We start from the raw sequence: 14,546 nt of genomic DNA, 5'->3' as shown, positions 1-14,546 counted from the left end.
CTGGATCCTCCGTCTTCCACTGGTGGAGACTCAGAAGGCTGGGAGGCTGGGAAATTTTTGGGTAAGTACAATGGACATTATTCAGGTGATAGCTACACTAAAAGCCCAGACCTCACCACTGTGCAATATATCTATGTAGCAAACTGCACTTGTAAACTTTAATTTTATACAAATCCAAAAACAAAATAAAGGAAACATAGTGATACCTAAACTTTTCTACAGATCAAATGAATAAGAATCTCTGGTGTAGGATTTTAGCTTTTGGCTAGATGATCTACAAAAATACAATCAGGGCAATTTGTTCTGGCTATAAGCAGATTGATCCAGTTTGTTTGCTATAAGCACAGATCAATAGGTACAAGGACAAGAGACCCCAACCAGCAGAAAACCTAAAGGAGAAATTTAGAGAGAATGAGTGTAGTCTGAGGATTTCAATTTACTTTATTATGTAAGCAAATCTGAATATGTAAACTTGTGTGGAGATTGAAAGAATGGAAAGAGGAAACACGAGAGACCCAATGACCGAAACCCTTAATGAATTTGGAAAGAGGAAACATGAGAGACCCAATGACCGAAACCCTTAATGAATTAAGAACTTGATGAACTGATGTGTAGTGAAAATCGAAGCGTAAGAGGCTTCATTAGTATGAAGTGTGTTAAAGTTAAAGGTTCATAGAGCAGTTATAAGTACTTCTTTGTCTGTATAAGTTATAGCATAGAAGTAGTTGCCTGAAGTATAATCTAAGTATGAGTAGAAACTTTCAGTTGTTGAGAATGTAAAGAACAGCAATGCTGGAGTTCTCTGCATGTACAGTGAAAAAAGATATTCACAAATCCTGGGAGAAATGGTAAACTAAGGGAATAAAGGGACTATGACTAGAAGGGGACATATGATAGGGTATAAATGATATCAGAGCTAAGGAACAGGTTTTTATTTCATTATATCTGAGATGAAATCTAGATTTTTCAGGACCTAGTGGCTGGTGATATAGTACTTTCTATTAGCAAGGCTAGAAAATTAAGGCTTACTTGCTTCAAGTTCTCCACAAAGCTAGTACAGTAGGCTCAATACTGCTCCCTCCCCCTGCCCTGCCAATAACTCATGCCTTTATCTTTGGAAGCTGTGACTATGTTACCTGACCTGGCAAAACAAACTTTGCAGATGTGATTATGTTAAGGATCCTAAGATAGAAGCGTTTCCTGAATCATCTGGATAGGCAATGTCATCTCAAAATCCTTACAAGTGGCACCCAGGAGGGCCACAATCAAAGAGGATGTGTAAGGAAAGACGCATAGGACAGAGATCCTAAGATGCCATGTAGTTGGCTTTCAAGATAGAATAAGTGCCATGAGCCAAGGAACACATTCTCTGGAACCTGGAATGGCCCAGAATAGCATTTTCCCCTAGACCCTCAAGAAGAAATACAACCTTGTGGACACCCTGACTTTAGCCTGTTGAACCAGATTTTGGAATTCTGATTCCAAATTCATTGGAATTTGAGAAAATTATGATGTTTCATAATTGATGAACTGTGAGAAAATTAATTATGGTGTTTCAGGCCACAACATTTGTGATATTTTTTTACAGCAGAAATAGGAAATGAATGCAAACATGATTCAGCAATTCTGATCCTCTCTCTCCTGCATCATCAGTTTTTCTCTTTCTACTAGATTCTTCCTAAGAGCATATAGGCATGCTGTTTTTTCTGCCATCTCAAAGAAAATTGTCATCTCAATTGTCAGGTGTATTTATAACCCATTCTTTGAATACTTTCTACACTTCTGTATCATTCTTCTCTTCCTACACTTTTTTGAATGCACCTCTATTCAGGCTGTTGCCTTTACCAATTTATCAAAATTGGGACAAGGGAGAGGATGTTGAAAATAACTAATGAGTACTAAGCTTAATATCTGGGTAACAAAATAAGCTGTAGAACAAACCCCCATGGCATGAGTTTACCTTTATAAAAAACCTGCACGTGCACCCCTCAACTTAAAATAAAAGTTAAAAATATTGAAAATTAAAAAAGTTTTGGAGACCTAAATTACATTATTTAATTCTAATTCTGAACAATTAACTTATTTAATATTTATGAAACAATTCTGATACTAATTCTGAACAATTACATTATTTAATATTTATGGAAAAGTTAAATTAAAAGAAATACACATAACAGTGTCATGGCTAGCCTTTGACATTCTCTTAAAAAATTAAAGCACAACATACTGAACAATTACATTATTCTAATGTAAGGAAGTGTGTGAAGAGCACAAAGTCAGAAATGGCCCCAGTGGCCCTAAGGGCTCATCTGGTTGTAGATGGGCTTGTACTTGAGTCCTGGCTTGTCTGAGGATCAGTTCCAACAGTTAGTGATTGAAACTGGACACCCTGATGGACTTCATTAAACCTGCATCTCTGCATTTCTCCAGGGCCTAGGAAAGAAGGAAATGGGTGTAGATCTTCAATGTATCTTGGCTTTGTCACTTGTCATTAAACCTTTTCTTTAGTGTGGTAAAATATATATAATATACAATTCATCATTTAACCATTTTGAAACGTATAGTTTATTGGCATTAAGTCCATCCACTTTACTGAGCAAGCATCACCAGTATACGTATACTACAATTTTAATCATCCCAAACTAAAACTCTACTGACTAAACAACAATTTCCCATTTCCCCCTTATTTCATCCTCTGGCAACCACCATTCTACTTCCTGTCTTTGCATTTAATTATTCTAGGCACCTCACATAGTTGGAGTCATACAGTGTTTGTCCTTTTGTGTCTGGCTTATGTAGCTTAGTAAAATGTCCTCAAGGTTCAACCATATTATTGCACGTATCTGAATTTCCTTCCTTTTTAAAACTAAATAATGTCCCTTTGTGTGTAGACACAAAACTCTGTTTATCCTTTCATTTGCTGATGCTCACTTGCATTTTCACCTTTTGATTATTGTGAATAAAATTATTATGAATAAGGTTATCATGAATACTAACATTGCTTCAAAAACATGTTTTAGTTTCTGCTTTTAATTTATTTAGGTATTGTGAGCCCCAAATATCTGAGACATGCCCCAGTCAATTTAGAAATTTAGTTTTCCAAAGCAAAACCTCTCTCCTATTGTCCAGGCTGTCCTCTGCTATGGTTACTGGGCTCGTTTTCAGCACAAAGGTCTCAGTGTTGTGTTATACTTTCCAAGTGAGCCTTCAGGCCTTTTCCTTTTATATATTTTTGCAAGAAAGTTAATGAGGCATCTCATCCGAAATGCATGCTATCATGTGTATATTTTGGCATTGGTTGAACAAGGTGTGTCGGCATCCAAACCACGCCTTCATCAATTAGTTTTCAACCTTTCTTATCTTGAATACATCCTCTGTCCTTGGTAGCCTTTTTATCCTCAAGAGGATACTGGGATTTGAAAGCTGTCAGATCTATTTGGGGAATTAAAGATGCCTGGACCTCAGCACTGCTGTTGGTTGTGTGCCTGGCTGTGCAGTCAGTGAAAGTGTTCCCTCTAGCTAGATTGGAATTCCTGTGCTGATGGCAATGGACAATGCCTAACAGCTATTTCCCTTGGGGTTGTCACCACCTCCAATAGCTCCAACGTGGCTCTGCATATTTAATTTTAGTATTACACATGTTTAGCAGTCCCCTTTCCTTGCAAATAGCTCTGTGTGCATGGACTATCATGAAAGAATATTTGGAATCAGTTTAGATATTGGTTCTCTTCCCTTTGGTCAGTTGCAAGGCTCTCATAAGGGCGATTTACTCAGCCTTTTGCACAGAAGTCCCTGTTGGGAGAGCTCTTGCAGCTATCACCTCCGAGAGAGACACTATAGCCTAGACAGTATTCCTCCTTCTGTTGGTGACCAGGCTGCTTCTGTCCACAAAGAGCATCCAGTCTCTACCCTGGAGGGCTGTGTCCTTCAGATCTGGTTGACTGGAAGACTCTTGATCTATAACCGCTAGGGAGTTGTGTACTAGTTCCTTTGGTTGTCCAGTAGGTGTCAACTAAGTGGCAGAGTTTAAGGCTCCAGTGGCTGGCCTGTAGTTTACTTCAGGATCATTAAGGAGGATAGCCTGATACTTGCCTAATCTGCCCACCATTAGCCAGTAGCCATCCTTCTGCTCTAATAACTCCAGGACTTCATGGGGCACATAAATCGTGATGGGCTGACCTAAAGTCATCCTCTTAGCTTCCTTGAGCAACAGGCAGGTGGCAGCTACTGCGCTGAGACAACGGGGCCAGCCCTTTGTCACTGAATCAAGCTGTTTTGAAAAATAAGCCACTGGTTGCAAATTTTTGCATTAGGACCCCAAGTGCTAGACCCAGTCTGTCATGCACATAAAGTTGGAAGGGTTTATGATAATTTGGCAGTCCCAAAGCTGGGGCAGATGTTAACTTATGCTTTAGTTGTTCAAATGCAGTCTGATGTTTTACTTCCCATACAAAGTGGTCGTGGTTGGCCCCTTTTAACAGTTCATATAGTGGCTTTACTGCCAGTGCCTAATTGGGAATCCAAATTCTACAGAACCCTGCATTCCCAGGAAGGCCCTCCACTACTTTCTGGTTCTGGGCATTGCGGCAGAGGCAATTGCATTTGGCCTCTCCTCTGCCAGGGCTCTGGTTCCTCTCTGTAATAGAAATCTTAAGTATTCTACAGTTTGTTTGCATATCTGTGCCTTTTTGCTCAAGACTTTGTACCCACAGGCTGCCAAATAGTTTAGAGTCTGTACAGTGTTATCTTGACACTCTTGCCTTGAGGGGCTTAAGATTAGCAGATCATCCACATATTGTAGTAGTGTCCCATTTTCCAACTGTAAGTCTCTTATGTTCCGAGCCACTGCTTCCCCAAATACAGTTGGGGAATTTTTAAACCCTTGAGGAAGCACTGTCCAACAGTATTGAAATCGTGCAAGCTGTTTCAGGGTCTGTCCACTCAAAAGTGAATAATAATTGACTTTCTGGGTCCACTGGTATAGAAAAGAAAGTATCCTGTAAATCTAACACTGTAGACCATTCATGGTCTCTGGGCAAGGAAGTAAACATAGTGTATGGATTGGTCGCAGTGGGGTGGATGTCTTCCACGATATCATTGGTCACCCTTAGATCTTTCATAAACCTGTACTTGTGTGAGTGAGGCTTCTTTACTGGCAGGATGGGTGTATTATACAAGGTCTGACAAAGTCTTATTAAGCCATGTCAAAAGAATCGAACCAGTACTGGCTGTATGCCTTCTAGAGTCTCTTTCTTTAGGGGTACTGTTTATTTTAATCAGGTCAGATACCTTCCTTTAGCCTGACTTTTATGGGATTCACATTAATTGTCCTCCCCAGTTGGTCGGAAGCCCATACTTCCGGCTTTACCTTATTGAGGACTTCCGGTGGAATCATCTCTACTTCAAGCTGTGGAGTTTTTGATTTCATCAGGAGGGCCTGTAGCTGCAATCTGGATTCTGGGGGTACCTGGAGGCACATTGGACGTTTCTCTGGTTCAAAGACAATTAATGCCTCTAACTTACACAAGAGATCTCTACCAAGCACAGAGGTTGGGCAGTCCCACACATAAAATAATTGATTAGCTATTATCAATACCTCATTGCCCACCTTGCAGGATAAGGGTCACAACCCCCCCCCCCCAACCAGTTTTAGCTCTCCATTCACCCCAACCATATTGACATAGGTGTCAGAAAGTCCACACTTTGGGATGTCAGTATCACCCGTATCAATTAAGAAGTCCAATTTTTGTTTCCCTACTGTCAGTTTTACCCGAATGTCCTGTGGTGAAATCCTAATGCTGGACAGGGTTGGAGCTTTTGGGAACTTTGGGCACCCTCGGTCCTCCTTGGATTTTTTCCAAACTTAACAGCCATAAGTGACTTGGGCTCCCCCTGACTCAGCTTGGGGCAGTCTTTCTTCCAAAGCACTGTCACCCTACAGTAAGCCCATTGATCTTTTTCTACTTTCCCTTTCCACCTTGGGGGTTCCTTTCTCTTCAGGTTTCCTCCCATGGCAGCTATGAGTATCTCTGCCTTCAGTAGTGCCTTGGTTTCCTTGGCTTCTCTGCTATTATAAGGCCTTGAACACAATGTCAATTAATTGAGAAGTGTTCATTCCAATAGCTCCCCTCCAGCTTTTGTAACTTCTTTGTGATGTCTGGGGCATTTTGCTCTATAAAAGTCATGTTTATCATTCTGACATTTTCAGGATCCTGCAGGTCTAAGTCTGTATGCTTTCTATATGTTTGACAGATACATCCATGAACTCTGAGGGAATCCTTGTTAGGCTTCTGCTGAAGCTCCTGCACTTTTTTCAGACTTTTAGGTCTCGGCACCCCTGACCTATCACCCTTTAGAATACTCCAGATGATTTGTCCAGGCCCCATCCTCCTCACTTGGGACCCAGTTTGGGTCAGCATGTAGAATCTTATCAGGGTCTGGGGTATCATCTGGGCTTTTTTCATGAAGACACCATGCTTCCTCCTTTCCATTGCCTAATGCTTGCTTTCTCTTGTCTGCAGTAAGCATAATATTTAGGAGGGCTTGCAAATTAGCCTAAGTAGGGTGATGGCTGGCAAAAATAGTGGTAAACAATTCAGTCATCTTCTGAGGATCTTCCCTGTAGAAAGGATTGGAAGTTTTCCAATTCAGTACATCAGATGTAGGAAAAGGCCTGTATGCCCAATAATATCGAGCTGAAGTCCCTTGCTGATTAATTCCCATGGGATATTGTCAGAGGGGAAATTGCCCTGCCCCAGCTTGGTAGATCTCCAGCCAAAATCAGTGCCTTGCCTAGTTCAGGAGGGAGAGACTATGTTTGCAGCCTCTTTATACTCCAGGGATGGTGGTTCCTCCACCTCTTGACTAAGTAATGTGGCACCAGTTTCAAGTGGGTTAAGCACATTTAACAACTGCTGACTCTCTAGCTCCTTTTCTTTCTCTCCCTGGGAGTCAGGACAAACTTTTTCCAAGTGGTGCACCATTAGTTTATTTCCTTTAACCTCTTGGTTATGTATCAACATAGATGTCTGAAAATAGGGTACTTTCTCTCATTTCCCTTAACACTGACAAAAAGTTTCAACGGAAAGATCATAAAATAGTTTAAAGATCTGAAAACAGGCCACTATTCTTTGAATCCTCATGTCAGGGCAGGAGCCCAACTTCCATTAGCTCTTGTTTGCAAACCCAGAGGGAATAATCACATTGGCCAACCAGCCCCTTTCTGTTTTTTGAAATTTTCCACTTTGCTGATTCCACTCAGTCCCTGCTCAGCCTTTCCCTCTCACCCGTTCTCCCTTAAAATGGTGAGTCACCTTGTATGAATCAAAGTTCAGTTCAGTCCATACTGGACCTCTTCCCTATTACAACACTGGATTACTAATAAAATCCATCGTCACCATTTTAACCAGTGTTCAACCTTGTTTATGTTCGACTTTAGCAATAGCAGAAATTTTTTCTAGCTTTCATAGTTAGTATCTACAGTCAGGTGAGAATGAAGGCTGACTAATATGACACTTACCTCTGGCTTCTAGTACTGAGCAGCAAGCTAAGTATTAGAGGTTTAAAAATATGATTAATTTCATAGCAAATTCTGGCATAAGTCAAAATAAGCACTTATATTTGATCATTAAAATATCAGGTCAATATCCACTTCATAAAGGAGATCATGTAACTGTAATTATGTTTCTTAAAGACTTCTGTTTAGAAATCATGTTTGCTTGATGTTCAAGTTTCTAGACTTCTCTAAGGGTCAATTGTTAAAACTGAGTTTTTTCTATTGCCAACAAGGATAGAGACTTTTCTTCTCTGCCCATTTCTTAGATTATTTCCTTGAGAAAAAATTGTATTTGTAAATCCTACCTCAGTCCCTTTGATATTCATGTAAATATTTTTAAAAGCCAACTAAGCCTCTTACCAGAATTGCAACATGTGAGTGTTTTGTTAAGGGTAAGAGAGCCAGCTCTTTGGAAATGTAAACATTAAAAAAGGAAAATTCCTATCTCCCTGGGTCCCTTGCTCCAAGCTACAACTGCCTGCTTGTCATGGAGAAATGTCATTTTTCCTAGTGATACAGGTGATTGACTAGCACAGATGGCTAACCCAATTACCAGGTGAATTTGGGATGAAGCCATGAAAGAATGTTATCAAAAAACAGTGTTGTTAGGCCTTCTTATGTGAGGACCAGTTATCATTTATCATGAGAAGATGTGTGTAAAGGCTGTACTCCTTGGCTTTTTAAAGAGGTCAGATTCATTTCTGCCTTTTAATCTCATTAGACCTTACCTGTGGTGCACATTGCAGTGTGGTTTAATGCCTTTTGAATAAGAAAATTATTTTCTTTCTTTTCTACATTTTTATGGAGGAGTTTTTTAGATTGGCAGGAGATTTCATTTTTAACATTATTCTCCAGTATAAAGGAAAACATACTTGACAGTTATGTACCAAATTAGGTAAAAGAAGATTGATATTGGATGTCCCCAGGGGCTCATAATTTCTACCTGTAGTAACATAACTTTCCCCTGTTTTCTGTAGACACAGAACTTCCCTCCCTTACACAGACTCCTCATTGGTACAGCCCAATTACATCCACTGTCCTAAGCATATGGACCCCCTATCTATCTCAATTCCACCCCCAGTGATTCACTGAGGGAGCAGTTCCAGCCTTGGGTCCCCAGATGATGTAAGGCATTGAAAACCCCACCTTCCCATAGAGGGCCAAGAGCAGAGCATGGGCATATTTGATTAGTACTGAGGAAATATGAGAGTAGGGAAACTTTGCTGTGACTGTATTCTTGTGCATTAGTGCATTCTCACACTGCTATAAAGAACTACCTGAGACTGGGTAATTTACAAAGAAAAGAGGCTTAATTGACTTACAGTTCCACAGGCTGTACAGAAAGCATGGCTGTGGAGGCCTCAGGAAACTTACAATCATGGAGGAAGGCAAAGGGGAAGCAAGCACATATTCACATTGCTGGCAGGGGAGAGAGAGAGAGAGAGAGGGAGGGAGAGAAATAGAGAAGAGGGAGGTGCTACACACTTTCAAACAACTAGATCTCATGAGAACCATATGATGAGAACAGCAAGAGAGAAGTCAGCCTCCATGATTCAGTCACCTCCCACCAGGCCCCTCTTCCAACAGTGGGAACTACAATTTCACATGTGATTTGGGTAGGGACACAGAGCCAAACCATATCACTCCGCCCCAGCCCCTTCCAAATCTCACATTCTTCTCACATTTCAAAAGACAATTATGCCTTCCTAACAGTCCCTGAAAGTCTTAACTTATTACAACATTAGATCAAAAGTCCAATTCTAAAGTCTCATCTGAGACAAGGCAAGTCCCTTTCAACTATAAGCCATAAAATCAAAACTAAGTCAGTTACTTCCTAGACACAATACGGGTATGGGTACTGAATAAATGCTTCTGTTCCAAAAGGGAGAAACTGGCCCAAACAAAGGGGCTACAGGCCCCATAGAAGTCCAAAACCCGGAAAGGCAGTCAATAAATTTCAAAGCTCCAAAATAATCTCTTTTGACTCCATGTCTCATATCAAGGCCACACTAATGCAAGAGGTGGGCTCCCAGGGTCCTGGGCAGCTCTACCCCTGTGGCTATACAGGGTAAAGGCCCCATGGCTGCTTTCACTGGCTGGCACTGAGTGTCTGCCGCTTTTCCAGGCACACAGTACAAGCCTTCAGTGGATATACCATTCTGGGTTCTGGAGGATGGTGGCCCTCTTCTCATAGCTCCACTAGGCAGTGCCCCAGTGGGAACTCTGTGTGGGAACTCAAACCCCATATTTCCCTTCCACATTGCCCTAGCAGAGGTGCTTCATAAGGGTTCCATCTTCACAGCAGCCTTCTTCCTGGATATTCATGCATTTTTAAACGTTCTCTGAAATCTAGGCAGAGGCTCCCAAACCTCAACTTTTGGACTCTGAGAACCTGCAGGCTTAACACTACATGGAAGTCACAACACACTGGGGCTAGCATCCTCTAAAACAATAGCTCAAGATGTGTCTGAGGCCCTTTTAGCCATGGCTGGGGCTGAAGTGGCTGGTATGCAGGGTGCCGTGTCCCAAGGCTTCACAGAGCAGTAGGGCCCTGGGCTTGGCCCATGAAATTATTTTTCTCTCCTAAACCTCCAGGTCTGTGATAAAAGGGGCTACCTTGAAGGTCTTTGAAATATCCTGGAGGCATTTTCCCCATTGTCTTGTCTATTAACATTTGGCTCTTCTTTATCTTGCAAATTTCTGCAGCTGGCTTGAATTCTTCCTCAGAAAATGAGTTTTTCTTTTCTACTACATGGTGGGGCTCAAGTTATTCAAACTTTTATGTTCTGCTTCCCTTTTAAATGTAACTTCCAGTGTCAGATAATCTCTTTGGGCATGCATATGAGAATATGCTGTTAGAGGCAGGCAGGACACATCTTGCTTCCTTTGACACTTAGAAATTTCTTCAGTCAGGTACCCTAAATCATCTTGCTCAAGTTCAAAGTTCCACAGATCTCTAGGGTAGGGACATGATGATGCCAATCTTTTTGCTAAAGCACAGGAAGAGTGACCTTTACTCCAGTTCCCAATAAGTTTCTCATCTCCATCTGAGAAATCCTCAGCCTGAACTTCATTGTCCATATCACTATCAGCATTTTCTACAGAAGTATCCAATTCTCTAGGAAGTTTAAAACCTTCCTTCATCTTTCCATCTTCTTCTGAACCCTCCAAACTCTTCCAGTCTCTGCCTACTATCCAGTTCCAAATTTGCTTTGACATTTTCAGGTATCTTTATATCAATGCCTCACTATTTGGTACCAATTTTCGGTATTAGTTTATTCTCCCACTACTATAAAGAACTACCTGAGACTGGGTAATTTACAAAGAAAAGAGGTTTAATTGACTCACAGTTCTGCAGGCTGCACAGGAGGCATGGCAGGGGAGGCCTCAGGAAACTTACCATGATGGAGGAAGGTGAAGGGGAAGCAAGCATGTCTTCACTTGGCTGGCAGGAGAGGGGGAGGTAGAGAGAGAGAGAGAGAGAGAGGCAGAGAGAGAGAGAGAAAGAAGGTGGAGGTGCTACATGCTTTCAAACAACCAGATCTTATGAGAATTCTATTATGACAACAGTAAGAGGAAAGTCAGCCCCCGTGATTCAATCTCTTCCCACTAGGCCCCTCCTCCAACACTGGGAATTACAATTTGACATGATTTTTCAGTGGGGACACAGAGCCAAACCATATCATTTGGTATTCCAGAATTTCTGCCTTGCTGCTGCCACCCTCATCTCTGGGTGCTTTCTCTTAGTAATTTTTCTCCTCTGACCTCACCGTGCTCTATGGTTATAAATCCCCTCTTGTCTTAGTTGGACTCAAAGTTGAGCTTCAAGGGAACCAAAACATTTTACACTAAAATACATTTATTTGACACATTTCAAGACAGCTATTCAGAAAAGCAGGAAATATTAGAAGGGACAAAAAGCTGTCTTTAGTGGGAAATACTTGCATCTGTAGAGAAAATTTGCATTGTTACAGCTGGGCTTTCTCTGAGAATCTCCCTTGGATAGAAGAAAGATTAACTGAGAATCTGATACCTTTAAAGGTCTAAAGAAAAACATTTCTCAGCTGTTCTCTCTGAGGGCTGCTTCCTGGGAGATTTCATCTAAATAATGAAACCTCTTTTGCTAGCCAGGCTTGTTCTTCTCTCCATCCCATAACCTGTGTTGCCACTGTAAAAAATTTTGCCAAGATTTAAGTGCAATGGTGCAATCACAATGCCCTGCAGCCTTGACCTCCTGGGTTCAAGCAATCCTTCTACTTCAGCCTCCCAAGTAGCTGAGACTACAGACAGGTGCCACTACACCCAGCTAATTTTTAAAATTTTTTCTTTTTAGCAGAGATGAGTTCTCAAGGTGTTTTCCAGATTGGTCTGAGCTGAAGAGATCCTCCTGGCTCAGCCTCCCAAAGTGCTGGAATTACTGGTATGAGCCACCATGCCTGGCCATCTGGCTGTTTTTCCTGCATTCTGCCTGTAATTATTTTTTAGGGTCTTTTTCCACATGTCTCATGTTCAGAGTCTCTAAGGCACATGGTGTAGCTGAGCTGATTCACCCCTGTCCTGTATAGAGCACCATGTGGGGGAAAGTTCCTGGTCTGCTATGCCATCGCCCAGCCAAAGGAGGGCTGCCTTTCTCTGGTTTCACATTCCTGTTTTAAACAGTCATGCCCAGAATTACTTGGCTACATTGCGACCTTAATACAAAATCTAGTTTGTGAAGTCATAGAGTTTGCTTTTCATAAAACTAAAATCTCTTTGTGTTTGTCTCACATCCCATTAGGGTCCCTCTTTTAGCACCTCGCTAAGATTATTAAAATTAATTAAAATATTTTGATGAACTAGAATGTCTGCAGAAACCTCTAGCCGTTTGCAGAAACCTCTAGTCATTTTGCTGGTTCAACAGGATAACCTTTTTTCCACTAAGGAACATTAGTGTTTGTTTAGTCGTGAGGTTAATATTCCCCATTTTTCCACCTCCCCTCTCCCAGCCCAAAATGTACTAGGCTGAGTGTTAAGGACCAAAGACTAATCACTTGGCCAAAGGGTTCCTTGTATCCCCACAAGTCCTAGGTATTTTTCTCTCATTGAGAGAAGAGGGTGTGTACTGATGCCTGGACATGGGATTTTATACCTTCTTGGCATCCAAGGTTGAAAAATCAATATACAGAGAAGGTATAGAAAATTCCCTAAAAAATGATGGGTAATGCCAAGACTATGGGTTTTTCTTTCCTCCTGTTACTTGTAACAACGATATTCTAGTGTGAAACTTGAGTTCTGCATTTCTCAATTTTTCTTGACTCTCAAACTAGCTAAACACTTCATTCTTCATTCTTAAGAGATTGGCACCAAATCACTTTGTCCTGTTTGGGAAATGCAGTGTTTCTCCTTTGGGTGCATTTTTGAAGACCAAGGCAAAAAACATTAAAGTTCATTTTTATTGTCTGTGTGGGCAAAACATTTGATTTTACTGAACATGCTCCATAGTTACATGGCAGGATGTTTTGACTGGCATAAAAACTAACCAAACTTCTAAATGTGAAGTAGGTCACCGGAAGAGTACAGGACTCTTTGTGAGTTGTTTTTCTCTCCAGTCCAGTATTTTCCTAAACATGTTTCCTAAATAACATAGGGATTTCATTTGGAATAAGCAAGTCATTTAAATTTATTCATAGGTATAGGAGGGTCCAGAAATGTTAAAAGCACAAGTGGTTTCAACTGTATGCCTTTGCTTTATGCGATAGTAGAGTAAGTTGAAAATGTTTTCTACTGAAGCAAGTGACTGTTTCCCTATGATTAAATAAGAGCAGCTTCAGATGGCTGGTTTGCACTGAAGGGTGGAGCAGGCCCATTTGCTTTCACGTGTCAGAAAAGTCTGCTCTACCCCACCCCTCAATAAGGCACTCACATCCACCAGGCGTGATCCTCTAAAAGTGATTCCATAGTGTTATCTCCAACCTCCTTCTCTGGAAAATCTTGCTGACTCACAGTGACTAGGGGACTTCTATGGCATTCTAGACCTGCCAGTCACAAGCCTGGATCATTGTACCTGTTCTGAGTTGCACCGGTCTTTTACTTTAGTGCCAGGTGGTTGGAAAGTGGCCCATGAAATAGAGCTGCTCATTTTTAAATTATCCCTTTTGTTGAAGCTTTTGTTCAGGAGGCAGGAGTGGGGCCACCGGCTGTGGACCTCATGGTACACTCTTGTTTTTAAGACGTGTTATACAGGGCGAAGGAAAGCAAAATGTGCCACTCAAAATGTACTTTTTTGGCATATTTTATGTGGCTATTCAGAGGGGTCACAATTCAGAGAGGCTGCTGACACACAAATAGACCTGAAAAGCTTTCTTCTCTCGCAGAGATTTGTAAGTGCTGAGGAAATGTACATTAGTGAAGTGAACAGAGGGTAAAAGCCTTTCTCTGAGGACCCCTTTATATGCCTTATTGGATCAAGGAAAGATTAACTTCCAGGAAAAACAGACTAAGATCCTGACACTTTAAAGGTCTGACTGAGAAGCTTCTCCACAGGCCGCCACCTACCTTCTTGAGGTCAGCTTGGCGAGCCCCTGAGAGGCTCACATCTATGTGGGGACAGCCTTGGCTCACCATGTGTGCCTCTTCCACTCCCCCATTACCTGAGACTCCACCTCCCCCAGAGACCCCAAGCCCCTGTTCTCTCTGTAGCCTCAGGATGTGATGAAACCCTCTGTCATCAGGACCACCCTGGAGTCTCTTATTGGCAGGAATCTGATGTCCATGTACATATATACAAATTTGCTGTCTTTTTATATTAACCTTTCACTTGTCAGTTTGTTTTATACACTCTAATTATCAAAACTTCAGAAGAGAGAGGGAAGAAAATGCCCTTTTGTGCCTACATGGGTATCTGCATTTCCCATGCAAAGCAGAAAAGGTGAAGGAAAGTAATAAAACCCAGTCCCAGAAGTAGCAAACATGGCCCTGACAATGGCAATGAAGGAATAGTGCATGGCCTAAG

At 41.5% G+C, this 14,546-nt stretch overlaps 2 annotated features.

Annotated features, from left to right (window-relative positions):
• Positions 7,159-7,453: an enhancer, noted in NCBI's record as "tiled region #2775; HepG2 Activating DNase matched - State 5:Enh". NCBI's record gives its function as "activates a minimal TATA promoter and a strong SV40 promoter by Sharpr-MPRA in HepG2 cells {active_cell/tissue: HepG2}" and the evidence as "EXISTENCE:reporter gene assay evidence [ECO:0000049][PMID:27701403]".
• Positions 13,201-13,772: a transcriptional cis regulatory region, noted in NCBI's record as "candidate enhancer chr10.185 targeted for multiplex CRISPR interference". NCBI's record gives its function as "positively regulates AKR1C1 and AKR1C2 gene expression with high confidence in K562 cells {active_cell/tissue: K562}" and the evidence as "EXISTENCE:mutant phenotype evidence [ECO:0000015][PMID:30612741]".

This window comes from Homo sapiens, chromosome 10 (genome assembly GCF_000001405.40).
Source record: "Homo sapiens chromosome 10, GRCh38.p14 Primary Assembly".
Lineage (NCBI taxonomy): Eukaryota > Metazoa > Chordata > Mammalia > Primates > Hominidae > Homo > Homo sapiens.
Note: the sequence above shows the minus strand (reverse complement) of the source record. Positions and strands in the feature narration are given on the sequence as shown.